The following is a 26,532-nucleotide window of genomic DNA, read 5'->3' as shown; positions in this document are numbered from 1 at the left end:
CCAGCACTGGAGGAGGCTGGTGGGGCAGGGCGGGGGCGGTGGGGCCTCCCCTAGCCTTCCCTCCCCCTCTCCTTCACTGTCCTTCCAGCAGGCACAGGAAGGTGAGGCAAGGTGTTTCCAGCCGGCAGGATGGAGGACGAGGAAGGCCCTGAGTATGGCAAACCTGACTTTGTGCTTTTGGACCAAGTGACCATGGAGGACTTCATGAGGAACCTGCAGCTCAGGTAGGCCCAGGGCAGGAGGCAGTGGCTCCCCTCCTCCAGGGTCTCCCACCTTGCGTCCTCGCAGAGACCTGAGGGAAAGAGGAAGGCACGCTGCTGTCCAAGGGAGGGGGCAGTGGCACACACCCACCCAGACCAGATGGGGCTGAAATGAGTGCCTCAAAGCACGGCCCCAGGGGACAGGAACAGACAAGGAGGCAACTGTCCCTGTCAGGGCTGGCAAGTCAGCACCGGAGCTGCCCACCACCTCAACCCACCCCTGCCTCCCACACAGTCCAGGCATCTTCTGCCCCTTCTTTCCTGCCCGACGGGGCCAGGGCATGACACTTCTTGGACAGATACATACCAGGCACTATCTTTCCAGGAGGGACCAGGGGCACCTCCCTCCAGCCACTTCCCAGCCAGTTGTTGATGCTCCCTCGATGCATCTCATCCATGGGGCCTGGCCTGAGCCCTGGGGACACTGAGATGAAGCAGTCAGGCTCCACCCTAGGGTCCAAACATTCCCACCAAGTTGAGGTGACATTCTCCTGGGGTACATGGAGTATCACAGGACACAGTTGGTAGAAGTGATATTGGAGCCCAATTTACCATCAAGGAGGGCAGGTGGAGGGCAGGGAGAAGCCCGGGAGGTAGGGGCATGGCACAGTAGGGTGGCCATACAGGCAGCTGGGCTTCCTGCCAGGACTCCCAGGGAGGGGCAGAAGGCCACTCGCTGTGTACTCCGGAAGCTCCCTGGGGAGAGCTTGGGGACCAGGATCCCCACTAAGCACCGAAGGCAAGAGACCACGAGCCTGGCTCAAAGAGGAGGGCTAGCCAGGACGTGAGCTAAGCACTTTGTGCACATTGTTCTACCTCATTCTTATAAAATGAGCTTATGAAACATTGTCCTCTCTATTTTGATGAGGAGAACACTGAGCCCTGGAGACGTGGGTGACTTGTGCCCTCATCCCCAGCTTGTAGGAGGATGGGAGCTAGGCCCAGGAAAACCCATGTCAGAGGTGGTGGAGAAAGAGGAACCTCAGGACAGGCCCACCCAGGACAGGCTGCCGGGAGACAGGGCCATCCAGGGAAGGGTGGGTACCACACACCAAGGGGAGATGGGTCTGAGGGGCAGGCCTGCCAGTCCTCCTCCCAGGGGCAGAAAGGTCAAGAGAAGGGCAGACATCCACCCCCACTGGGGACCAGGTTTGTGAAGGAAAGGGTCAAGAAGTCTGAGGCTGTGCCAGGGGAGAGGCAGCAGCCACTGGCCACAGGCTGGGGGGTCGGGGGTGTAAAGACAACGACATCAACTCCCTCCCTGTCATCTGGGTGGGGCTGGGTGGGGTCCCCTTTTGTCTCTGGGTTCCCGCCCAGGCCTTGAGACAGGAAACAGCCGAGGAGGCCCCTCCTTCCCCTCCCAGCCCAGTCACTTCTCAACCCCATCTCCCCATCTGCCCTGCGGGGTTCACCCCAGGAGCCAGCCCTGACTCACGGCACCCAGTGCAGTCTTGGGCAAGTCTGTTTCCTTTGCAAAATGAGTGGTCATGTTTCCAGTGACCTTGGGATCCCTGGGGAGACCACTGTGGACCCCAAACTCTATGCCGCAATGGAGACAGTCTCTGAGTGGCTCAGCTCACCCAGGATGGCACCAGGGAGACGCAAGGTCAACACCTGCCCCCTTCTTCCTTCTCCACTCTCAGCCCGTCAGGGTGGGAGCGCTGGCCTACTGGGGCCAGGCCCTGATATGGGCTCTGGCGAAAGGCCTGTGGGTGCCTGTAAGCCTGTGAGTGCTGAGGCCTACCCCTGCTGTGTCCAGGTTCGAGAAGGGCCGCATCTACACCTACATCGGTGAGGTGCTGGTGTCCGTGAACCCCTACCAGGAGCTGCCCCTGTATGGGCCTGAGGCCATCGCCAGGTACCAGGGCCGTGAGCTCTATGAGCGGCCACCCCATCTCTATGCTGTGGCCAACGCCGCCTACAAGGCAATGAAGCACCGGTCCAGGGACACCTGCATCGTCATCTCAGGTACCTGTCCCTGCCGCCGGGCCCCCACCCTCGGCATCTTCATTTGTGAACATTTGGGAGGGCCATTAGAGCATCTCCTGTGCCCTGTGTCCTGATGGGGGCCCTAGGACCCCATCTTGCCAGTCTTGGGGGTGTGAGTGGGCACAGGGAGCTGGGCTAAGAGAGCGAACCTGGCTGATTCTCTCAACTCTGGTCTTTCCGGCAGGGGAGAGTGGGGCAGGGAAGACAGAAGCCAGTAAGCACATCATGCAGTACATCGCTGCTGTCACCAATCCAAGCCAGAGGGCTGAGGTGGAGAGGTGAGTGGCAATGGGCAGCTCTGGGCCTCAGCATGGCAGGCCAGGGACCTCAGTGTGGCAGGAAGGGCTGGCTCTGGGGAGTGAGAGACGGCAACTGGAGTCTAGCTCAGGTCAAGTTCAGTGGGAACTTGGGAAGTTTCCAGATAATGCCAACACACCCGGAGGTGAGACAGGGTGACCCATGCCAAGGACCTCTCCTTGGGTGGGTGAGACCTAGCCAAGGTACTGGGCCTACCAGCTGGGAGGAGGCAGCAGCCACAGGTAGGATGAGGAGAAGTGCAGCAGGGCCCAGAGATGCTTGAAATGGCTCATGGACAGGGCAGCAGGCAGATTCCATGGAAACCTGGAGAAGCTGGCAGGCCCTGGCCAAGATGGCCAAGCATGCCAGGTGGCTGTGTGGGTGATGGCCAGGAGCCTTGAAACCAGGAAACCTGTCCCTTATGGAAGCAGCTTCCTCTGTCAGTGCCTGTCTCTTCCTATCAAGAGGCAGCGAGATGGGATTCAGGGGGGACAAGCAATGTCAGTTCCTGAGCACATATGGCCAGCACCACTGCCCACCCCTGCAGCTGGAGGTCTAAAGCCCAGTGGTCAGAACAGCCCCTCCTCCCCAGGCTGCAGCTGAGGCCTGGGAGGGGAAGAGGTGGCTGTGAGAAACAAGGACCTCAATGCTACACAGACCATGCTGAGCACAGCCAGCCCGGCAAGTGCATTTCCCAGCCTCTCAGAGGTGAAGTGACCGTCACACAACCTCAGAGGCAACACTGGGCGAGGCCAGGCCATTGGTTCCCTCTCAGCAAGTTCAGAGGAACTCATCCTGAGATGCTGTGATTTCTGTTGGGAAGACTCAGGGGCAGAGACAGCATTCCCCAGATGGGAAGTCTTTGCCTTAAGACCCAGCCCCTCTGCCCTGACAGGGTCAAGGACGTGCTGCTCAAGTCCACCTGTGTGCTGGAGGCCTTTGGCAATGCCCGCACCAACCGCAATCACAACTCCAGCCGCTTTGGCAAGTACATGGACATCAACTTTGACTTCAAGGGGGACCCGATCGGAGGACACATCCACAGCTACCTACTGGAGAAGGTGGGCAGGTGGGCTGAGGAGACCTCCATGGGGAGCCCTGGCCGAGACCCATCCCAGGCCTGGGAAGGTACCCATCCCGACGGTGCAGCTTAGGAGGGCTGGGCTGTCTCTCCCTGTGGCCCTTCTCTGGGCCTCAGTGTCCTCATAGTCAGGACTCTCTGACCCCCAGCCTGCCTTGCACCTGGGAATGTTCAGATGGGGTCCCCAGGGTCAGACTCCTTCCCAGGCCTGAGTCCATCTGCCCCTCTCTCCTCAGTCTCGGGTCCTCAAGCAGCACGTGGGTGAAAGAAACTTCCACGCCTTCTACCAAGTAAGCCCTGAGGGCAAGGGGAGGTGGAAAAATGGGGTGGGGAAAGGGAGGGCAGCAAGCTGGACCAGCTTGTGACCCTTCCATCACTACCCCAATTCCCCCTCTCTGCCCACTCAACCCCACCTAGCCCATCGTCCTCACTCCCCACCACACTCACCCCAACCAGTACCCCACACCCCACAAACAAGAGGGTGTGACTTGCAGGGAACAAAAGCAGGATGTCCCCTTTATCTGAGACACCTCCAGATGAGGGCTCTCTGGGACCCATAAGTGTCTCTGTGAACAATAAGCTCCCCACGAGGTGGGCTTCCCCTGGGATTACAGGCAGTGTCTCTAGTGGTATCAGAGCTCAACACTGAAGTGGTGCTCCTGGGGACACGGGCATTGACTCTGAGCACCTCTGTGAGATAGGCGCGCCCAGGGACTGTCTCCACAAGCTTTGACACCCCACTGAGGTGGGAGCTCCCTGGAAACAAACAGTGTCTCTGCAGTCTCAGAGCTTGACACTGAAGTGGAGCTCCCTGGCACGCCAGCGGTGTGTTTGCAAACTGTGGCCTGCCCACTGTGTCCTCTGGTTCACAGACAGTGTTTCCACAGACTCCGAACTCCCCCACTGAACTGGGAGCACCCTATGACTGGAGCAGTGTCTCTAGGGACTTGGAGCTCCCCACTGAGTTAGGAGTTCCCTGCAGCACAGACATGGTCCCCACCAACTCTCAGCTCCCCAGTGCAGTGGGAGCTCCCTGGAACACAGCAGTTTCTCCCTGGTACACAGGCGGTGTTTCCATGGATTCTGAGCTCTTTACTGAGGTGGGAGCTCCCTGAGACAAGCACAGTGTCTCACAGACTCTGTGCTCCCCATGAGACAGGAGCTCCCTGGGTAGCGGGCAGGGTCTCCAGGGTCTATGAACCGCCCGCTGAGGTGGGAGCCTCCTGGGATGCAAGGAGTGCCTTTAAGGACTCTGAGCTTCCATGGTGTGGTGCTCCCTGGGACACGGCAGTGTCTTCACGACTCTGACTTCCCACTGAAGTCACACTCTCTGGGACACAGCAGTGTCTGTAAGGACTCTGAACTCCACTGAGGTGGGAGCCCCCTGGGCTGTCTTTCCAGTGAGTCTGCACTGAGGTGGGAGCTCACTGGGAAACCAGTAGTGTCTCTGTGGACTCTGACCTTTATTTGAGGTAAAAGCTCCCTGAGACACTGGCAGTGTCTCCACAGACTCTGAGCCTCCCCCTGGTGGGAGCCCCTGGGAACACAGAGGGCGTCTCCACAGACTCTGAGCTCTCACTGAAATGAAGCTCCCTGGGACTCCGGCAGGATCTCCACAGACTCTTACCTCCCCACTGAAATGGGAGATTTTGGGACATGGGCAGGGTCTCCATGGACTCAGAGTTCCCCCATTGAAGGGGGAGTTCGGTGGCACATGGGCATTGTCTCTAATGACTCTGAGCTCCTGGCTGAGGGGATTGCTCCCTGGGACGTTGCCAGGGTCTCCACAGACTCTGAGCTCCCCATGAGGTGGGAGCTCCACAGGATTTGGGCAGGGTCTCCATGAACTATAAACTCTCCACTGAGGTGGGAGCTCCCTGGGACACAGAGAGTTTTTTTCAGACTCTGAACTCCCATGAAATGGAGCTCTTTGGAGCATGGACAGTGTCTTTAAGGACTCTGAGCTACCCACCGAGGTGGGAGCTCAGTGGGACATGTGAAGCAGTGTCTCCACGGACTCTGGGCTGCCCACTCAGGTGGGCTGTGTCTTGGACACAGGCAGTGTCTCTATCAACTTTGGGCTCTGCTCTGAGGTAAGAGCCCCCTGGGACAGGGGCACTATCTCCTTGGACTTTGAACTCCCACCAAAGTGGAGCTCACTGGGACAGTGGCAACGTCTCCACGGATTCTGAGCTCCCGCTGAAGTGGAGCTCCCTGGGAATCAGTCAGTGTCCAAGAACTCTGAGCTTCCCTGAGGTGGGAGCCCTCTGGAACACAAGGAGTGTCCACGCAGACTCTGAGTTTCCATGAAGTAGGGCTGTCTGGGACACTGGCGGTGTCTCTATGGTCTCTGAGCTCCTCACGGAGCTGGGAGCTCCCTCGGACATGGGCGATGTCTCCACAAACTCTCCATTCCCCTATGAGGTGGAAGCTCTCTGCGACATGACCATTGTCTCTGTGGAATCTGAGCTTCCCACTAGTGGGAGCCCCTTGGGACACAGGGCAGGGTCTCCACAGACTCTAAGCTCCCACTGAAGTGGAGCTCTCTGGAATAACAGCAGGATCTCCACAGACTCTTACCACCTCCAGTGAAGTGGGAACTTTTGGGACACAGGCAGTGTCTCCATGGACTCTGAGCTCCCTGCTGAGGTGGGAGTTCATGTGGCACCAGTTGTGTCTCCACAGACGCTGAGCTCCCTAGGACATGGGCTCTCCCTGGGTGGAGAGCAATGTCTCCACGGAACCTGTGCTCCCTACTGAGGTGGGAGCTTCCTGGGACAGGGGCAGGGTCTCCAGTAACTCTGAGCTCCCACTGAAGTGGAGCTCCCTAGGATTCTGCAGTTTGTCCACAAACTCTTACCTCCTCACTCAGTGGGAGGTTTTGGGACCCGGGTAGTGTCTCCACATACTCTGAGCTACCCACTGAGGTGGGATCCCCCTGGGTCGAGGGCAATGTCTCCACAGGGACTGAGCTCCCTACCAAGATGAGGTCTGGCACAAGAACAGTGACTTCATGGTGGAGTCATAGCTCCCACTGAAGTGGAGCTCCCTGACCCACTGAACAGCTGAATGGGGAGCTTGCTGGCACACAGAAACTGTTCACACTGTCTGACCTTCCCCCACGTTTGTTCGTTCAATACTGGAAGGAAGCGCAAGTCTGTTTGTTCTCCTGCCTGTGTGTGTGTACAGGGGGACATCCTGGGAGCTTATTTGTCTAAAGGATGCCTGTGTCCTCTAGTTGCTGAGAGGCAGTGAGGACAAGCAGCTGCATGAACTGCACTTGGAGAGAAACCCTGCTGTATACAATTTCACACACCAGGGAGCAGGACTCAACATGACTGTGCACAGTGTGAGTGTGAGGGGCACCAAGGGCTCAAACTGGGCTCAGTGTCAGGGCCTGAGTGTGGTGGTAGGGAATGGGCAGCACTCAGCACAGGCCAGGGTGAAGTGAACTGTTTGCGTGAGTGGGGAGGGTGCTCGGGGTGGAGTGAAAATGGCTGATGGAGGGGACAGAGTGCAGGGGTGAGCAGGTGCTTAGGCTGGAGTAATCAGGTTCAGGAAGGGGACAGGGGACAGGGGTGAGCAGGTGCCTAGGATGGAGGAATCAAGCCTCAAGGGAGACAGGTGTCCTGGGCCCAGTGTGGCTTTGGAGTGATGAATCCCTTCTACCCTAGGCCTTGGACAGTGATGAGCAGAGCCACCAGGCAGTGACCGAGGCCATGAGGGTCATCGGCTTCAGTCCTGAAGAGGTGGAGTCTGTGCATCGCATCCTGGCTGCCATATTGCACCTGGTGAGCCTGGCTCAGAAGCCTGGGAGGGCTACTTCCCCACAAGGGTTTCCTGGCTGGGAAGCACCCAGGGATGAGGAGGAGACTGGCTGGAGATGCCCCAGCAATGTGCTAGGCTGACTGCCTCTCCTGCAGAAGCTGAGCTGCTCGAGTGATGAGCTCAGTTGATACATGGTCCAGACCCCATTCTTAGGGCCAGGTCAGCCAGGCGCAGTAAAAGCTGAGCATCATGCAGACTGCCTCTTAGTGCAGTCATGAGCTGTGTGGCTTTGGTTGCATTTACTCAGTGCCTCTTGGCCTCAGTTCTCTCTAAGCGGCATGAGGAGTAAGTAGTGCAGGGCTCCGCTGGCTGTGGGAGGATGCGATGGGGTCATTCACATGTCATTTGGACTCGAGGCCTCGAGGCCTTGGCAGAGACTCTGGTGTGCCCATGCCCCCTTCCCCCAGTCTCTGGCTGTGTCTGTGCCCATGGTGAGCAGCTGACCATGCTGGTCTGAGAAGGAGCTGTACTCTACCGCATCCATGTCCCCTGCTTTCCTTCCTCCTTCTTGTCCAAAGTTGTCCAGGCTCTTTTGAGACATGGAGCCCGGACTGTTCATGGTTTTCCCATCACCAGGGAAACATCGAGTTTGTGGAGACGGAGGAGGGTGGGCTGCAGAAGGAGGGCCTGGCAGTGGCCGAGGAGGCACTGGTGGACCATGTGGCTGAGCTGACGGCCACACCCCGGGACCTCGTGCTCCGCTCCCTGCTGGCTCGCACAGTTGCCTCGGGAGGCAGGGAACTCATAGAGAAGGGCCACACTGCAGCTGAGGCCAGCTATGCCCGGGATGCCTGTGCCAAGGTACTTTGGGGGCAGGCACAGGGAGGGAAGCCCAGGAGGCCTTCATGGGGGAGGCCAGGCCAGAGGCAGCAGGAAGCAGGGTGTTCCTATCCCCCAGGCAGTGTACCAGCGGCTGTTTGAGTGGGTGGTGAACAGGATCAACAGTGTCATGGAACCCCGGGGCCGGGATCCTCGGCGTGATGGCAAGGACACAGTCATTGGCGTGCTGGACATCTATGGCTTCGAGGTGTTTCCCGTCAACAGGTGGGTGGCTGGCCAGCCACATCTCCACCTCTGACACCCAGCAGCTTTGCCCACTTAGTTCTGGAAAGCTCGGCTGGGGCTGGGCAGCAGGAATGTTGGGGTTTCTCCCGGCTGGTCCCTGGGCCCAAGGCTCATGCCTCCCAAACCTGCCTCACCTGCACCCTCTGACCATTGATGTCCTGATGGAAGGCAGAATTACGGGGCATGAGTAATTCCTGGTTGTGACTCCCAAGTCCACTCCAGAACGTGCATGCAGGAGGTGTGGGTGGGGTAAAGGAGTCCAGGGCAGGGATGCATAAGCCACAGGGAAGCCACACAGGGTGCTGGCACCAGAACCCTCAATGAACATTAGCAGAGATGTTCAGGGGAGCAGCCACCCATTACCATGCACTCCACAAGCAGCGACCTCCCCTCTGAAAGGCCCACCCCACCCCCAGTTTCGAGCAGTTCTGCATCAACTACTGCAACGAGAAGCTGCAGCAGCTATTCATCCAGCTCATCCTGAAGCAGGAACAGGAAGAGTACGAGCGCGAGGGCATCACCTGGCAGAGCGTGAGCACTGTGGCCTGGAGGGAGGCCAGGCAGTGGGGTGTGGAGGGGCCTCAGCCCATGGGGAGGGGCCCGGGCTGGCCTGACAGGTGGCTGAGTGTGGGGCGGAGGAGGGGAGGTGGCCTGAAAGACCTTGGGAGCTTCCTTGCTGGCTGCCTTTGCCCCAGGTTGAGTATTTCAACAACGCCACCATTGTGGATCTGGTGGAGCGGCCCCACCGTGGCATCCTGGCCGTGCTGGACGAGGCCTGCAGCTCTGCTGGCACCATCACTGACCGAATCTTCCTGCAGACCCTGGACATGCACCACCGCCATCACCTACACTACACCAGCCGCCAGGTGCCCCCGGCTGTCCCAGTGCCACCACAGTGGGCTGGTGGGACCTGCCCCACAGGCACCATGCTGCCCATGCCTCGTGGGGCCTGGTTGGGGACCCAGCTTTGGTGCCATTGTCGTCACTGTGGCAACCTTCTCTGCCCTGGAGGTGGGGAGGCAGGGCTATCCCTTCATACAGACCCTCCACATACCTTTTGTGCCTTGACCTCAGCCTGTCCCCATAGCTCTGCCCCACAGACAAGACCATGGAGTTTGGCCGAGACTTCCGGATCAAGCACTATGCAGGGGACGTCACGTAAGGGCCCCCTCCCACCCACATCCCTGGCTTTCCCACAGGCACCATGGCATGTGTCATGGGGCAGGAGCGCTTCAGGGGAGTGGCTCGGAGACAGGTGTTATGGCCACTTCTGCCACCCCCACCCCTTTAAGACACTGAAACATGCCGGACAGCAGATTCACAAGTGAAGAGCAGGAAACAGGGTTTGAGGATAGTGGTTAACCATGGCTGCATTCTTCTGGGAGCCTTTAAAAAATACCCACGTCTCATGTCTGGGCCCAACCCTATACCAGCATCTGTGGGGTGGGGGGCTTCAGGCTGGTGATGTGGGGGTGGGGAGGGAGTGGAAGGTGCAGGGGGGCCAAGATTCTGCATTTCTAACAAGCTCCCAGGTGAGGCCTCGCTACCATACTTGGACCACGCTCCCAGTGCCAAAGCCCAGGTGTCTTCAGGGGTTGTCATGATGGCTATTAACTTATGTGTTGCTTGCCGCATCCCAAAACGATTTAAGGTGACTCACATCAAGGTATAAGTGTTTCATGAGAACTTCTCAAGGAGAGGGAATAGAATAGATGATGACAACAAAGCAGCCCAATATCATCTACCTTTATCTGTTCGCAAAATCTACACCCATGAGGTCGCTCATGCCTGTAACCCCAGCACTTTGGGAGGCCAAAGTGGGTGGATCACCTGAGGCCAAGAGTTCGAGACCAGCCTGGCCAACATGGCAAAACCTCATCTGTACTAAAAATATAAAAATTATCCGGGCACGATGACGCGTGCCTGTAATGCCAGTTGCTCGGGAGGCTGAGGCACAAGAACTGCTTGAACCTGGGAGGTAGAGGTTGTGGCGAACTGAGATCGCACCACTGCACTCCAGCCTGGGCAAGAGAGTGAGACTATTTCTCAAAAAAAAAAAAAAAAAATCCATTCCCTGAGCCTTCATAGGTGCTGCAGTTGGAGCCAAGATTTGGCACTGACCTTTCTAGCAGTCCAAGAACTAGACAGTGATTCTGAGGCTCTCAGTGCCCACAGATCAAAATAGGCCCAGGACTCAGGAGTTCCTAGTCATAGTTGTAGTCGCTGATGTTTATCAAAATTCAGTAGGCACTGTTCTGAGCAACTGATGTACACTGAAGCACAGAGAGGTTGAGTGGCTTAGGCAAAGTCACACAGCATGCATGTGGTAGAAGCAGGACTCGGTGCTAGGACATTTGGCTTCAGAGCTGGGGGCTTAACCACTCGATTCATCTTCCAGGAGAGAAATGTCTCCTGAGGGAGGGAGTCTTACATGACGAAAGAGAAAGCAGGTGTGAGGGGGAAGGAGGAGAGGAGCCAAGGCAGAGGGAGGAAGAGAGACTGACCTATGGGAACAGAGGCAGATGGGAAGAGAGTGGGGGCTGCTGGGGTCATTAGCACTCTGGCCTGGCAGCCCCCGCCCCTGCTCCCTCACCAGCCCTGGCTTCTGGTAGGTACTCCGTGGAAGGCTTCATCGACAAGAACAGAGATTTCCTCTTCCAGGACTTCAAGCGGCTGCTGTACAACAGGTGAGCACGGCTTGCTGGGCACCATAGGGAGGGCCAGGGCCCTGGGGCCCCAGAGACTCTGGGGTCAGGCATTGACTAGCGTCAGGACGTGGGTGGGTGGGGCTGCTCTCCCAGAGGATGGCTGGGAATTCGGCCTGTGTCTGCAGCACGGACCCCACTCTACGGGCCATGTGGCCGGACGGGCAGCAGGACATCACAGAGGTGACCAAGCGCCCCCTGACGGCTGGCACACTCTTCAAGAACTCCATGGTGGCCCTGGTGGAGAACCTTGCCTCCAAGGTATGTTCCACCCCTCTCCCACTCTGGCTGTTCCGGATCCTTCTCTCTGTGCCCTCGGTGCCAAGTAGGGTCCCAACCACCTCTGTACATCATAGTGGTGGGGAGAGGGTTCTTGTCCTGTCTGTATGAGCCACATCTGCTCCAGCAGTGGACCCCACCCACTGCACAGGTGAGATGTGGGGCCTCAGGGGCTGGGCTGAGGCTTGATCAATCATGGGGAACCCAGGCTTCTCCTCGCCCCATTGTCTCTTGAACAGGGAGGGGTTTGGGGAGACCCTGCTGAGAGGCTGGCTTGGCCCAGCCCAGCTCTTGGCAAAAACCCAGGATTCTTCTGGCAGGTGGGGCCAGAGAGACAGGAAACTGGCACAAGCTTTCTTGGGGAGCTTTGGGTCAAAAGTCAGAAGAGGAACAGGTGAAGGGTCAGGGAGAGGACATGTTAGGGTGAGCTTAACTACAGAACATCCAGAGATGTCAGCCCCTTTTGGAAGGAGAGAAGGAAGGCAGATGGGGCGAGGCCTGCTCCTGCCCCTGCCACGCCCACCTCCCCACCCCCCGACCAGGGGCTGGAACCTGGCTCTGAACCTGGCCTTGCTGGCCTCTGCCCAGCACTTAGGGCTTCCAGGGCCCTTGTTCTGCTGATTTCCCTTCTTTGTTCCCAACTCTTCTCCTGGCCTGGGACCTTGAGGGGTTAGGAAGCCCCTGGTGTGGGGCAGGGTGCACAGTGCTGCTGGCGCAGACCCTCTCCAAGTCCCCTCTGTCCCTGCAGGAGCCCTTCTACGTCCGCTGCATCAAGCCCAATGAGGACAAGGTAGCTGGGAAGCTGGATGAGAACCACTGTCGCCACCAGGTCGCATACCTGGGGCTGCTGGAGAATGTGAGGGTCCGCAGGGCTGGCTTCGCTTCCCGCCAGCCCTACTCTCGATTCCTGCTCAGGTACTGGCACCTGACACCCATCACTCCATGGGCCATAGTCCCTGTGTGGAGTCCAAGGGGTAGGAGCAGAGGGTCCCCAAACAGCACGTCGCAAACATCGATACAAGCAGGAACCAGCACGCTGCTGGCCTCAAGACACCAAAATATCTGGGAAGACATGTGTGTGAGCACATGCATGTGGGGACATACAGGTGGGAACATGGGTATGAGGGCTGTGTGAGGACATGTATGTGAGGACATGTGTATGGGAAGACATATGTGCACAGGTGTCATAAGTGCTCCAGGAACACACTCTGTATCCCTGCCATCTCCCCAGGTGTGGGGTGGGCAGGGTGGGCTCCATCATCTCTCCCCCAGGCCTGGGCCACACTGCCCTGTCCTGTGGTGACAGGTACAAGATGACCTGTGAATACACATGGCCCAACCACCTGCTGGGCTCCGACAAGGCAGCCGTGAGCGCTCTCCTGGAGCAGCACGGGCTGCAGGGGGACGTGGCCTTTGGCCACAGCAAGCTGTTCATCCGCTCACCCCGGACACTGGTCACACTGGAGCAGAGCCGAGCCCGCCTCATCCCCATCATTGTGCTGCTATTGCAGAAGGTGAGGTGGGCGGGGCAGGAAGACATCCACTATGGAGGTGGGGAAAGCTTGTGTCCCAGGGGCCACAAACACACTTGTAAGTTTCACAGGAGTCTCTGCTTGATGGAGACAGGCCAGGGAGTGCTCAATAAATGCTCAGGGCCAGGTTTGGGTCTAAGGGTTAGGGCCTGATTGAATTTGACTGCGTATCCCATCCCACCTGGCCCACCCAGGCATGGCGGGGCACCTTGGCGAGGTGGCGCTGCCGGAGGCTGAGGGCTATCTACACCATCATGCGCTGGTTCCGGAGACACAAGGTGCGGGCTCACCTGGCTGAGCTGCAGCGGCGATTCCAGGCTGCAAGGCAGCCGCCACTCTACGGGCGTGACCTTGTGTGGCCGCTGCCCCCTGCTGTGCTGCAGCCCTTCCAGGACACCTGCCACGCACTCTTCTGCAGGTACTACTCTCAGCCCACCACACATTCCATTCAGCTGGCATCCACTGAATACCTTAACCCATCATCCCGGGCCTGCAGTGCCTGGATGGGAGATACACCAGCCCCCTTGATAGGTGGGAAGGTGGATGCTATGCCACATTAGCTGACTGCTCATGTCCCACAGTTGGTGCAGAGCCCTGACCATCTTGGGTACTGTGGTGGGCATTCAAGGTCCAGGGCTGCAGCCTGCAGGGGGAGGCCCATTAGGGCTGGGAAGTAAGGGGATTCTGCATCTGAGCGGGGTCTTGAGGGCTGAGTAGGAGTTCTCCAGAAGGAGGGGCACAGAGCATGCTCAGAACAGGAGGACACTGGGCGACTGCTGGTCCCTGGGTCACCTTCCAGGAACAAGCGTTAGGCACAAGGGGCCAAGGCCAGAGAGGCCGGCAGAGGTTGGGACATGAAAGGCAGGCAGCACCAGGCTGAGGGCTCAGCTTCCTCTGTGGAGAGGGGGCTCAGGGAGCACATGAACACATGGCCAGCATCTGTCTGACTACATGCCCTCTCCCAGGTGGCGGGCCCGGCAGCTGGTGAAGAACATCCCCCCTTCAGACATGCCCCAGATCAAGGCCAAGGTGGCCGCCATGGGGGCCCTGCAAGGGCTTCGTCAGGACTGGGGCTGCCGACGGGCCTGGGCCCGAGACTACCTGTCCTCTGTAAGTGCCAGGCGAGTCCAGGGCTGCCAGGGGGAAGTGGGCTGCCAAAGAGGGCTCTCGGCTAATGCTGTGACCAGGTCCCCTCAGATGTCCTCTCCCAGGCCTGGGGTTGTCTGTCCTGGTGGCCCTGTACCTCAGCCCCCACCAGAGCTCTGCAAGGTCTCATCCTGGGCTTCAGGAGCAGTGGCCTTCGGGGGTGGGTGTGGATGACAGGAGGGCCAGGCTCAGATGCAGCCTAGAAGTCAACACAAGAGGGCTCTGTGCCCTCAGGAAATCCAGGGCTGCTCAGCTCACGCACAAGTCTGTGTGACTCAGTTTCCCGAGATGAAGGATAGCTATGCTGATTCACAGACAGCTGCTATCAATTGAGTCTGGTCCCATGACTCAATCCCAAGCAGCGCCCCCTCCCCTCCATCTGTCCTCAGGCCACTGACAATCCCACAGCATCAAGCCTGTTTGCTCAGCGACTAAAGACACTTCAGGACAAAGATGGCTTCGGGGCTGTGCTCTTTTCAAGCCATGTCCGCAAGGTTAGACAAGGGACAAGGATGGCTTCAGGGCTGTGCTCTTTTTCTAGCCACGTCTGCAAGGTTAGAAGCTGGTGCAGAGTTTTGGGGGGGCACTTGGGAGAAAATGGAGGCAACCCCAGCCCAGGCCCAGCTGCTCCTGACACTCCCAAAACTGTCGCCAGCGGGGAGGGGAGGCAGTAGGGACTGCCGAAGCCTGGGGCCCTGGTGGGTGACAGGGCAGCACCAGCCTGGGTCCAGCCACCTCTCCCACAGGTGAACCGCTTCCACAAGATCCGGAACCGGGCCCTCCTGCTCACAGACCAGCACCTCTACAAGCTGGACCCTGACCGGCAGTACCGGGTGATGCGGGCCGTGCCCCTTGAGGCGGTGAGCAATGTGGGTGGGGAGTAGGGTGCAGCATCTGTGAGGGGCACTGCTGGGCTGCTCAGAGTCCTGCCTCAGTCTTCTCTCCCCTGTTTACCTGAGATGGCCCAGACCATCCTAAAACTCAGCGATGGTGGCACCCGTGCTGAAAATCCTGCAGTGGCTTCCCACGCCCACAGAGTGAAAGGTCCCATCCTGTGATCCCCACCAGCCCAGTCACCCCCCACCCCCACTCTCACACTCTAGCCAAGCCAAATGGTCCCCTCTTCCAACTTGTGCCCAACTGGGGTTCTCCCACCTGGGCATTCTGGGACCTGAGTACCCACCACAATGTTCTGGGCCTCCTGTGGGATACCGTCCCGGCCACTCCGGAACCTTCTGCCGAGCTCTGTGGCCTACTTGCTCCCTTCATTAGCAGCTGCTGTTCCCATAAATTCTCTTTCCCACAAGACGGGGGTAGGGATCAAGGCCAGGCTACCTCTGGGTCTCCCACAGTTTCAGGGGTCCCATGACTGTCCCAATAGAAAGGGCGGTGAGTGCCTTGCTGTGTAATGCCACAGCCCAAAGCCGGCGTGGTTGTTTAAATGCAGTGAAAGTGACCTAGAACTAAAAACGGCTCCTCCAGGCAGTAGCACATGCAAGGGCTTAGCATCCACAGGTGAGCAGTGGCGGCCCTGTTGGACAGCAAGGATCTAGAACCATCAGTCCTGGAGAAAATCGTATTGTGCAGCGTCCCGCCCAAGCTTCCCCCTGTCAGCAGGGCCCCGAGAGGGAGGAGGGGGCGGTGGGGGGCTGGTGGCCCTGGCGAGGGCGGCGCTCCCCGGGTGCGGTTGGGGGTTCGGCAGAGGCTTCCTGGGGAGGGGGTGAGTCCGGCTAGGCTGGGGTGCGGGTTGAGGCGGCTGCACTCTGACCCCGCGCTCCGCTCAGGTGACGGGGCTGAGCGTGACCAGCGGAGGAGACCAGCTGGTGGTGCTGCACGCCCGCGGCCAGGACGACCTCGTGGTGTGCCTGCACCGCTCCCGGCCGCCATTGGACAACCGCGTTGGGGAGCTGGTGGGCGTGCTGGCCGCACACTGCCAGGGGTGAGTGCAGGCTGGGCGGTAGCGGGCACGAAGCCCCGGCCGCGTGGCCGCCCTGACCCCTCCTCCTGCCGCAGGGAGGGCCGCACCCTGGAGGTTCGCGTCTCCGACTGCATCCCACTAAGCCATCGCGGGGTCCGGCGCCTCATCTCCGTGGAGCCCAGGCCGGAGCAGCCAGAGCCCGATTTCCGCTGCGCTCGCGGCTCCTTCACCCTGCTCTGGCCCAGCCGCTGAGCGCCCGCACCCGCCGCACCCCGAGGCCGCCAATTGTCCGCCCCGCCAGCGCTGCAAATAAACCTTCTGAGTCAGCCCTCCTGCTCGCCGCTCCCGCCTCACCCGCAGGGGCTCCGGCCGCCTCCTCGGTCAGGTCCACCTGCGCCCGGCTCACCCGCTGGGGACCCGACTGCAGGAGGCCAGGCGCCCCGGCTAGGGATAGGAGCCCGAGCTCTCGGAGTTAGCGCTATCCAGAGGAAGCAGTGCCCTTTGTGCCCCAGCCTGCCCCGTCCACGCAGTGGTCCCCTGCTCCTCTCCACAGGGCTCCTGGCCTTGTTCCTACCTGGCCACTGGCGAGGGCTTGGGGTTCATCTTCAGGCAGGGCTGGGGAGCACGCCTGGAGACAGAGCTGTCACGGGATGTGGTGCCAAGCCGCCGTGGCCCAGGGCTGACGCTATCCCAGCCGCGAGCTGTCCCTGTCCCTGCTGGATGTGGGTGTCTGAGGCGCTGGGACCGACCTCTGGAGCCTAGTAACTGAAGGACAGGCCCTGCGGCCAGAACTCCCAGCCTCCGGGAGCAGGGCCTGTGCCCTCGAAAGACCCACAGGGAGGCCTTGGGAGACCCCTGCAGCCCCCAGGCTGACCACCCCATCTCCAGGCCTACCCCAGCCTCAGCCTCCAGCAGCTCCGCCAGCCCCTCAGGGGCCCTCATGGCACCAGGCCCTCAGCCTCTCAGCCCTCTGCCTCCCTCAGCCCCTCTGCCTCCCTCAGCCCCCTCAGCCCTCAGCTCTCTCAGCCCCTCAGCACCCTCAATCCCCCTCACCCCTTAGCCCTCAGCCTCCTTCAGCCCCTCAGCCCCTTCAGCCTCTCAGCCCCTCAGCCCCTTCAACCCCTCAGCCCTCAGACCCCTCAGCCCTCAGCCCCTCAGCCTTCAACCCCTCAGCTCCTCAGCCCTCAGCTCCCTCAGCCCCTTCAGCCCCTTAGCCCGTCAGCCCCTTCAACCCCTCAGCCCTCAGCCCCTCAGCCTTCAACCCCTCAGCTCCTCAGCCCTCAGCTCCCTCAACCCCTCAGCCCTCAGCCCCCTCAGCCTCCTCAGCCCCTCAGCCCTCAGCCCTCAGTCCCTCAGGCCCTCAGCCCCTCAGCCCTCAGCCTCCTCAACCCCTCAGCCCCTCAGCCCTCAGCCCCCCGACCCCCAGCCCCCTCAACCCCCTCAACCACTCAGCCCCTCAGCCCTCTCAGCCCCCTCAGCCCCTCAGCCCTCAGCCCTTAACCCCCTCAGCCCTCAGCCCCCAGCCCCCTCAACCCCCTCAGTGCTCAGCCCCCTCAAACCCTCAGCCCCTCAGTCCTCAGTCCCCTCAACCCCTCATCCCCTCAGCCCCCTCAGCTCCCTCCTCAGCCCTTACCCCCCTCAGCCCTCAGCCCCCCAGCCCCCAGCCCCCTCAACCCCCTCAACCACTCAGCCCCTCAGCCCTCTCAGCCCCCTCAGCCCCTCAACCCTCAGCTCCCTCAGCCCTCAGCCCTTACCCCCCTCAGCCCTCAGCCCCCCAGCCCTCAGCCCCCTCAACCCCTCAGCGCCTCAGCCCTCTCAGCCCTCTCAGCCCTCTCAGCCCCCTCAGCCCCTCAGCCCTCTCAGCCCCCTCAGCCCCTCAGCTCTCAGCCTCTCATCTCTCAGCCTCCTTCAGCCCCTCAGCCTCCTCAACCCCTCAGCCCCTCAGCCCTCAGCCCCTTCAGCCCCCTCAACCCCCTCAGCCCTCAGCCTCCTTGAGCCCCTCTGCCCCCTCAGCCCCAGCCCCTCAGCCCTCAGCCCCTTGAGCCCCTCTGCCCCCTCAGCCCCTCAGCCCCTCAGCCCTCAGCCCCATCAGCCCCTCAGCCCTTAGCCCTCAGCCCCTCAGCCCTCAGCCCCCTCAGACCCCTCAATCCCCTCAGCCCTCAGCCCTTTAGCTCCTTCCTCTTTTCCATCAGTTGGTGTTCTCTGTGCCCCCAGAGCTGTGCTCTCCTTCTTATGGGGCAACCTAAATTCAGAGAGCACCCTGGCTTGGTTTGCCACTTTGTTGTGTGGGCAGGTTCACGTCTTCCACCAGGGCCTTTGGGTGGCATATGACAGTTTGGGACTGTCCAGTCTCTGTACTTTCTGGGGCCTCTCCTGTTGAATGGCTAGGCACCTGCAGGTGTAGGGGCTCAGGGTCACCTCCGGCCTGCAGGTCAATGTCTTGCTGCTCCTGTCCTGGGGAGGGCAGCTCTCTCCTAGCCCAACCCAAAAGCCCCCAGAAGCCTCCACACAGCCAGCTCCGGAGTCTGTCCTTGGCTTAGGTGGCTTCAGGACTGGGCCAGGCACCTCCCTCACAGGACAATCAGACATGAAGGGTACCTTTCAATCACACAATCCTACACAGTCCTAGACATTAGGTGGGTCCTCTGCCCTCTGCAGGTGACCTCATCAGAGAGCCCAGCAGCATCTGCCCATTTCCTGTCTACATTCTCCTCCCTAGTGCACTGGGAGTGGGAGGAGAGCCCAAAGCTCCCCCAGATCTTTAGGAAGCCCCACTGTCAGGCTGAGTGGAGGGCCTTAGTGACAAGTGATAACTTCAGGGAAGTCCAGAGTGGGAGACACATCTGGGGTCCAGCTTGCTGGTGGGCACTCCCTGCTCATGCCCACAGCCTCGAGGGGAAAAGGTCATAATTGACAGGTGGTTCCTGGGGTCCTGAGATCCAGCCCAAGGGATGGGACGACATGCTAGGAAGGGGAAAGTGACAGAAGGTTCATATGCATCACACACCACTTTGACAAACCCATACATAGCATTCACTATAGTGAATAGAAAAACTCACGAAGCACCATAGTTCCAGCACTTTGCAAATATCCCCCACCCAATACCTTTGAGGTGAGAGTTACCATCATTGCCTAGTTACTGGTGAGAAAACAGAGGTTCCATGACGTGCCTGAGGCACTGAGGGGGATGATGTCAGCACTTGTGGCCGCACGTGCAGGCACACGCCCTCCATGTCACACCAGTGCACTCACTTTGCAGATGAGGAGCGATGCCTGAGCACTGGGATGGCATCATTGGCTTGTGTTGGACAGTGCCTATATAGGAGTCCAGCTTCTACCCACTTGTTCCAGTCTATCCACATTTTCCACCAACAGAACGAGTTTACTAGAAACCTCTCCTCAAATTGGTACAAGGACTACATGACATGGCATGTGATGACACACACACAGAGGAGATCCTTTTTCCAGCATGCAGGAAGAGGAGATCCCATACATGGGCTTGGGGGTGGCTTCCCTCACTGCAGTGTCCGGTCCCCCAGCAGCTCTGGGAGCAGGAGTGACTATCTCCGTTTTGCAGATGAGGAAGCAGAACCATAAAGGTGACCTTTTTTCTTTTTCTTTTTTACATTTAAAGTTAAATTGGTCTCCCCTCAAAAAATGCTTAGACTTAATTATTTTAATTATCCTCACATATACTCCTCCGGCTTCTTTACTGAAGTGTAATTTACACACCATAAAACTTACCATTTGAAAACGTGCAATTCGGTAATCTTTAGTATATTCATAAGGTTGTGCAACCAACCAACACCATTATCTAATTTTAGAACATTTTCATCACCCCAAAACGAAACCCATACCCATCAGCAGTCACTCTTCGTTACCTGGTAGTAATTACCTACCCCTACCCTCAGCCCTTGGAAACCACTAATGTACTTTCTGTTTCTTCAGTTATGCCTATTTTGGATATTTAGTATAAATGGGATCATACAATATATGGCCTCATCTGTCTGGCTTCTTTCACTGAGCATAGTGTCTTCGAGGCTCAACCATATCGTAGCATCTGTCAGTACTTCACTCTTCTATGTACTACTAATATTGCACTGTATGGAGACACCACATTTTGTTTATCCATTCATCAGGTGATGGACATCTGGGTTGGCTATTATGAACAGTGGTGCTAGGAACATTTGTGTATAAGTTTTTGTGTGGACACATGTTTCCAATTCTCTTGGTATGTATCTAGGAGTGGAATCTCTGGGTCAAATGGTAATTCTTTTTTTATTTGTTTTTTGTTTTGTTTTGTTTTGTTTTGAGACGGAGTTTTGCTCTTGTTGCCCAGGCTGGAGTGCAATGGCGTGATCTCGGCTCACTGCAACCTCCACCTCCTGGGTTCAAGCGATTCTCCTGCCTCAGCCTCCCAAGTAGCTAGGATTACAGGGATGCGCCACCATGCCTGGCTAATTTTGTATTTTTAGCAGAGATGGGGTTTCTCCATGTTGGTCAGGCTGGTCTCAAACTCCCAACCTCAGGTGATCTGCCCACTTCGGCCTCCCAAAGTGCTGGGATTACAGGCGTGAGCCACTGGGCCCGGCCATCAAATGGTAATTCTATGTTTGACTTTCTGGGGAACCACCAGATAGTTTTTCAAAGTGGCTGCACCATTTTACATTCCCACAACTAATACATGGGGTTCCAACTTCTCTACATCTATGCCAATATGTTATTTTCTGAAGTTTTGGTGTTTTTTGTTTTTTGTTTTTTCTTGAGATGGAGTCTCGCTCTGAGGCCCAGGCTGGAGTGCAGTGGTGCGACCTCTGCTCACTGCAAGCTCTGCCTCCCAGGTTCATGCCATTCCCCTGCCTCAGTCTCCCGAGTAGCTGGGACTACAGGCGCCCGCCATCACGCCCAGCTAATTTTTTTTGTATTTTTATTAGAGACGGGGTTTCACCGTGTTAGCCAGGATGGTCTCAATCTCCTGACCTTGTGATCTGCCCACCTCGGCCTCCCAAAGTGCTGGGATTACAGGCGTGAGCCACCGTGTCCAGCCAAGTTTTGGTGTTTTTGTTTTGTTTTATTTTGTTTTTCTGAGACAGAATTTTGGTCTGTCGCCCAGGCTGGAGTGCAATGGCGCAGTATCAGCTCACTGCAACTTCTGCCTCCTGGGTTCAAGCGATCCTCCTGCCTCAGCCTCCCAAGTAGCTGGGATTACAGGTGCCCGCCACCATGCCTGGCTAATTTTTGTATTTTCAGTAGAGACAAGGGTTCACCATGTTGGCCGGGCTGGTCTCGAACTCCTGACCTCAGGTGATCCGCCTGCCTCAGGCTCCCAAAGTGTTTCTTTTTTTTTTTTTTTTTAATGGCCTTCCTAAAGGATGTGAAGTCTTACCTAATTGCAGTTTTGATGCACGTTTCCCTAATAATGAATTATGTTGGACAACTTTTCATGTGCTTATTGGCCATTCATATATTGTCTTTGAAGGAATGTTTATTCAAAATTCTTTTTTTTTTTTTTGAGATGGAGTCTCACTCTGTTGCCCAGGCTGGAGTGCAGTGGTGCGATCTTGGCTCACTGCAAGCTCCACCTCCCGGGTTCAGCCATTCTCCTGGCTCAGCCTCCCAAGTAGCTGGGACTACAGGCACCCACCACCACGCCCGGCTAATTTTTTGTACTTTTACTAGAGACGGGGTTTCACCGTGTTAGCCAGGATGGTCTCGATCTCCTGACCTCGTGATCCACCTGCCTCGGCCTCCCAAAGTGCTGGGATTACAGGCATGAGCCACCGCACCTGGCCAGTTTATTCAAAATTCCTTGCCCCCGCCCCACTTTTTCTTTTCTTTTCTTTTTCTTTTTTTTTTTTTTTTTTTTAGACAGAACCTTACTCTGTCACCCAGGCTGGAGTGCAGTGGTGTGATCTTGGCTCACTGCAATCTGTATCTCCCTGCAACCTCAGCCTCCCAGGTTCAAGCAATTCTCATGCCTCAGCCTCCCAAGTATCTGAGTCTACTGGTGTGTGCCACCACGTCCAGCTAATTTATATATTTTTTTGCAGAGACGTGGTCTCACCATGTTGGCCGGGCTGGTCTTGAACTCCTGGCCTCAAGCAATCCACCTGCCTCGGCCTCCCAAAATGCTGAGATTACAAGCATGAGCCACCACGCCTGGCCTCCCCCAACAACCCCCCCCCCTTTTTTTTTTTTTTAAATTCATGGACTGTAGGCCATTCTCCAGTGGTCACCAGGGTGCTCCTTTTCCATGCAGGGAAAGGCTTGCTCTAGCCTCTGTCTGCTGTGACCCCCTCTCTGCCTGGTTGGTGAGGAGGGGCAAGCGCTCTGGCCAGACAGCAGGTTCTACAGCCATGTGGGTGCGTAAGCACCGCAGGTGGGCATTGACAAACTCATCCTCTCCAAAAACTGCTCCTGAGCCCCAGAAGGGTCAGAGCTTTGCCCGCAAGCCCCCCTCCCCTAGAATGCAGCCATGTCTTCTGGAAGCTCTGTCCTGGCCTAAAGTGATGCTCAGCCCCCGGAGCTCCTGAAGAACAGATGGAGCAGTAACCCCTGGCTTGCTGTCACTCTGCTGCAGGGTCACAAGATACTTGAGCTGGAGGCCACAGAGAGCACTGTGACACACTGTCCCTCCCAGGAGCCCAGACCCCACCTTGATGCGTGAGACGGATCTAGGGAAGATGCTGGGAGGGGCTGGAGAGAGGCGCTGCAGGCCAGGGTAATCAGAAACAAAACTGTCGTAGAATCCGTTCTCTGTCTGTGTAGGTAGAAAAAAAAAGATGGAATATAATATTGAGAGTGCTTGTGTCCTGCTGGTGGGATTGCAGGGAGTTTCTACCCTGTTTTTGCAGGTATTTTCCTATTTTCCCCCGAATTGCTACAATGAATGCTGCCAAGTCATGCCAGTTTATAGGTGGCCGGGTACAGAGTGGCTGTAGGCCAGGGGTTGTCTGTGCTCCCATGGTTCCCCCATGTGCTGAGCTCTCAGCAGGAGGGCAGTATTTCATCAGGGGTTGAGGCCAGCTCCATCTTGGACTAAAATAAGCAGCCTTGGACCAAGGCCACCCAGGACCAAGATAAGCAGCAGGGTGGGGGTAGGCAGCTTCCTGTTGACCCCTACCTGCCCCTTAAGCTAGCCAAAACAGTTGCCTCCATCCCTGTCAGTTGGGAGATGGTACTTTTTGAGGCTGGACCTGGGAAATTCAACCTGGCTTTGGTCAACATGCATATAATGGGGTGGGAATAGGCCTCATCTGTGGGGTGAGGCCTCCACCTCCAGCACCTGGTAGAGAAGTCCAAGGGTACTGGCTCCCACAGAGCAGGGGCTGGGAGAAGTCCTGAGACTGAGAGGCCTGCACAAATCACTTTAGTAACACCCAATGCAACCAAGATATGCTCTTGCTTTTACTTTTGCTTGGAGAAAAAAATCCTTACAGGCTACAAAAGGTCAGAATATTCTAGAAAGCAAATCTGAAGGAACATGACCATCTGTTCAGTTTAAATCTTCACTGAGCTGAGCAAACAGAAGAATAATCCTGCAGATGGAGAAATGCTGCACATCACAAGGTCCGTATCATAGCAGTGTGAGGTTAGCTTCCCCAGGTCCAGTTCCCATACACCATCCATTACTCTGCTCTGTTTATCAGAAAAATGTGCCACCAAGCAATCAATACATTTTCCAAGTGAACAAAACAGGACAGAAACCTCCCAGCTCTTCCTTAGCAATAAGCCATGCTGAGTGTTCCTCCCCACACAGGGCTGACCTCACCACACTGCTGTGACCCCAGCCTGAGCAGAGGGAGACAGAGCAGAAAGGAATTGACCACAGCTGCTGCAAGGACAGGCTGAGTGTGGAGGTGAGAGCGCAGAGCCAGCAAGCAGCCTCTGAGTGTGAAAACCCATTAATCTCATGAATGAGGCTGGTGACAAGCCACATGGGTGGATGGGACAGGACCAAGTGTGGAGTAAGAGGCTGAGCACCAGAGAATGGCGCAGAGGCTTGGGAAGGCCAGGCTAGTCTAGGTGATTGTGACCACCCAGCTGTTCCGGGCTTGTCTGGAAAAAATGTGTTCTTAGGAAAGTGATAGTGCCATGGTTTGACTGTATCCCTTCTGAAATTCAGGTGTTGCCAATGTGCTTGTCCTAAGAGGTGAGGCGTTTAAGAGGTTGGCCGGGCACAGTGGATCTGTAATCCCAGCACTTTGAGAGGCCAAGGCAGGGGGATTACTTGAGGCAAGGAGTTCGAGACCAGCCTGGCCAACAAGGAGAAAATCTCTACTAAAAATACAAAAAATTAGCTGGGTGTGGTGGTGGGTACCTGTAATCCCAGCTACTTGGGAGGCTGAGGCAGGAGAATCACTTGAATCCAGGAGGCGGAGGCTACAGTGAGCCAAGATCACACCATTTCACTCTAGCCTGGGCAACAAGAGCAAAACTCTGTCTCAAAAAAAAAAAAAAAAGAGAGATGATTATGTGGACTTCTTCGGTAGTAATGGGATTAAGACCCTTACAAAAGAGGCTTCATGCAGCATTTGGCTGGTTTGCTCTCTTGACCTTCTACCTTTTGCCATGAGATGACACAGCAAGAAAGCCCCTTACCACATGCTGGTAACTTGATCTTGGACTTCCTAGCCTCCAGAACTGTGAGAAGTAAATTTCTTTTCATTATTAGTTACCCAGCCTGTGGTATTCCGTCATAGCAACACAAACAGACTAAGGCAGAAATTGATACCAGAAGTGGGGTGGTACCAAGAGCGGGAGGCTGAGGCAGGTGGATCACTTGAGGTCAGGAGTTTGAGACCAGCCTGGCCAACATGGCAAAACCGTGTCTCTACTAAAAATACAAAAATTAGCCAGGCGTGGTGGTGTGCACCTGTAGTCCCAGCTACTCAGGAGGCTGAGGCAGAAGAATCACTTGAACCCAGGAGGCGGAGGCTGCAGTGAGCTGAGAGCATGCCACTGCACCCCAGCCTGGGTGACAGAGCGAGACTCCATCTCAAAAAACAATTTTTTTTTAATAAAAAAATTTTTTAAAATTAGAGGAAAGGCCATCCTTGTTATACAATTGCTAAGAACTTTGCAGAACTGTGTTTGTGTCCTAGGACTTAATGTATGGAACGCAGAACTTGAGAGCTATGAACTAGAGTATTTGGCAGAATAAATCTCTAGGCAGCAAAATGTTTAGGATGGTGCATGGCTTCTCTTACCTGCTTATGGTAAAGTGAGATGCGAGAAAGACAGAGAAAGATGAAAGACAGAGTTTTTAATTAAAAGGGAAGTAGAATGTAAAGATTTGGAAAATTCCCAGCCTGGTCAGAATAGAAAGAATAAAAAAGTGTGTTTAAGAAAGAAAACTAAGGGTGTGGCCAAACAACATTTAATCGGGAGATTATGGCTAGAAGGAAGCCAGGTACTATTCATCCAGACAATGGGAGAGTGACTTTGAAGGCATTCCAGATATCTTCAGGGCTGCTATACCCATCACAGGCTTAGAGTGATAAGGCCTTGAGGGCAGAAGAGTTTCAAAGGAGGGGTCCAAGATGCCCAAGGGACCTTGGGGCTTACTGTCCAGGGCCACCTCAGGTCTCTGTTCCCCACTCTCGCACAGCAGTCCTTGGCCACCCCAGCTGTGGCTCAGGTGGGCTCGGGTGTGGCTGAGTTGCCATACCACAAGTGGGCTGCCCACTCAAGAGGACACAAGCAGTGAGCCTTGGTGGCATCAACATAGTGCTAACTCTGCAGGTGCACAGAGTGCACAAGCTGTAGAAGCATAGCTACCTCCACCTACATTCCAAAAGATGTCTCAAACAGCCTCAGGGTCCAGGTAGTGACTTGCTGCAGGGGGAGAGCCACAAATGAGAGCATCCACTAGGGCAATGCTTAATGGAGCCATGGGAGTGGGGCTGCCCCCAAGACCTCAGACCTGTAAAGTCACCAGCGGGCATGAAAATTCAATGCATGAAACTTGAGCGTAGTCTGTGGCCAACAAAGCCATGGAGTCAGGGCTGCCTAAGGCCTTGGGAGCCCAACCCCTGCCCTACTCTGTTCAGATGGCAGGACATGAAGTCAAAGAAGATTGTTCTTCTTTTTTAATTTTTAAAAAATATTTTTAAATTATACATTTATTTTTTACTTAAAATTTACGTATTTATTTATTTTAAAAAAATGTTTTAAACAGAGTTTCCCCTCTGTCACCCAGGCTGGAGTGCAGTGGCGCCATCTCGGCTCACTGCAACCTCCACCTGCTGGGCTCAAGCGATTCTCCTGCCTCAGCCTCCCGAGTAGCTGGGATTGCAGGCACCTGCCACTATGGCTGGCTAATTTTGTTTTCTTTTGTTTTGTTTTAAGACAGAGTTTTGCTCTTGTTGCCCAGGCTGGGATGCAATGTGCGATCTCAGCTCACCGCAACCTCCGCCTCCCGGGTTCAAGC

At 56.6% G+C, this 26,532-nt stretch overlaps 1 protein-coding gene across 2 annotated transcripts, besides 5 other annotated features; it reads left to right on the top strand.

The window, feature by feature from the left end:
• Positions 44-133: a silencer, noted in NCBI's record as "silent region_18160". NCBI's record gives its function as "represses an Ori minimal core promoter by ATAC-STARR-seq in GM12878 lymphoblastoid cells {active_cell/tissue: GM12878}" and the evidence as "EXISTENCE:reporter gene assay evidence [ECO:0000049][PMID:35858748]".
• On the top strand, positions 76-16,429 carry MYO1G (myosin IG). 2 transcript variants are annotated; one of them, NM_033054.3, is made up of 22 exons: positions 76-224; positions 2,020-2,228; positions 2,434-2,527; positions 3,442-3,607; positions 3,864-3,917; positions 6,866-6,976; positions 7,302-7,418; positions 8,032-8,256; positions 8,354-8,499; positions 8,937-9,051; positions 9,216-9,386; positions 9,608-9,678; positions 11,133-11,207; positions 11,354-11,486; positions 12,253-12,419; positions 12,811-13,018; positions 13,231-13,454; positions 14,002-14,146; positions 14,572-14,676; positions 14,929-15,042; positions 15,967-16,121; positions 16,196-16,429. In NM_033054.3, exons 1-22 carry the CDS (start codon positions 130-132, stop codon positions 16,350-16,352), a joined length of 3,057 nt encoding a protein of 1,018 aa, NP_149043.2. In that variant the 5' UTR covers positions 76-129; the 3' UTR covers positions 16,353-16,429. The 2 variants fall into 2 exon arrangements, 1 of the variants encoding a protein (NP_149043.2); XR_007060129.1 differs by lacking the exons at positions 14,002-14,146; positions 15,967-16,121; positions 16,196-16,429 and having other exon boundaries at positions 14,929-15,021.
• Positions 5,028-5,107: a silencer, noted in NCBI's record as "silent region_18159". NCBI's record gives its function as "represses an Ori minimal core promoter by ATAC-STARR-seq in GM12878 lymphoblastoid cells {active_cell/tissue: GM12878}" and the evidence as "EXISTENCE:reporter gene assay evidence [ECO:0000049][PMID:35858748]".
• Positions 12,934-13,033: an enhancer, noted in NCBI's record as "active region_25958". NCBI's record gives its function as "activates an Ori minimal core promoter by ATAC-STARR-seq in GM12878 lymphoblastoid cells {active_cell/tissue: GM12878}" and the evidence as "EXISTENCE:reporter gene assay evidence [ECO:0000049][PMID:35858748]".
• Positions 16,401-16,901: an enhancer, noted in NCBI's record as "H3K27ac-H3K4me1 hESC enhancer chr7:45001789-45002289 (GRCh37/hg19 assembly coordinates)". NCBI's record gives its function as "activates a minimal SCP1, AML or CMV promoter by ChIP-STARR-seq in primed H9 embryonic stem cells {active_cell/tissue: H9 hESC(primed)}" and the evidence as "EXISTENCE:reporter gene assay evidence [ECO:0000049][PMID:30033119]".
• Positions 22,514-23,015: an enhancer, noted in NCBI's record as "H3K4me1 hESC enhancer chr7:44995675-44996176 (GRCh37/hg19 assembly coordinates)". NCBI's record gives its function as "activates a minimal SCP1, AML or CMV promoter by ChIP-STARR-seq in primed H9 embryonic stem cells {active_cell/tissue: H9 hESC(primed)}" and the evidence as "EXISTENCE:reporter gene assay evidence [ECO:0000049][PMID:30033119]".

This window comes from Homo sapiens, chromosome 7 (genome assembly GCF_000001405.40).
Source record: "Homo sapiens chromosome 7, GRCh38.p14 Primary Assembly".
NCBI lineage: Eukaryota > Metazoa > Chordata > Mammalia > Primates > Hominidae > Homo > Homo sapiens.
This window is presented reverse-complemented; position numbering and strand designations above follow the sequence as displayed.

Coding starts and splice junctions, on each gene's coding strand:
- MYO1G (NM_033054.3), top strand. CDS start 130: ATGGAGGACGAGGAAGGCCCTGAGTATGGCAAACCTGACTTTGTGCTT. Junction 2,528..3,441: donor CAGAGGGCTGAGGTGGAGAG/GTGAGTGGCAAT, acceptor CTGCCCTGACAG/GGTCAAGGACGTGCTGCTCA. Junction 9,679..11,132: donor CACTATGCAGGGGACGTCAC/GTAAGGGCCCCC, acceptor GGCTTCTGGTAG/GTACTCCGTGGAAGGCTTCA.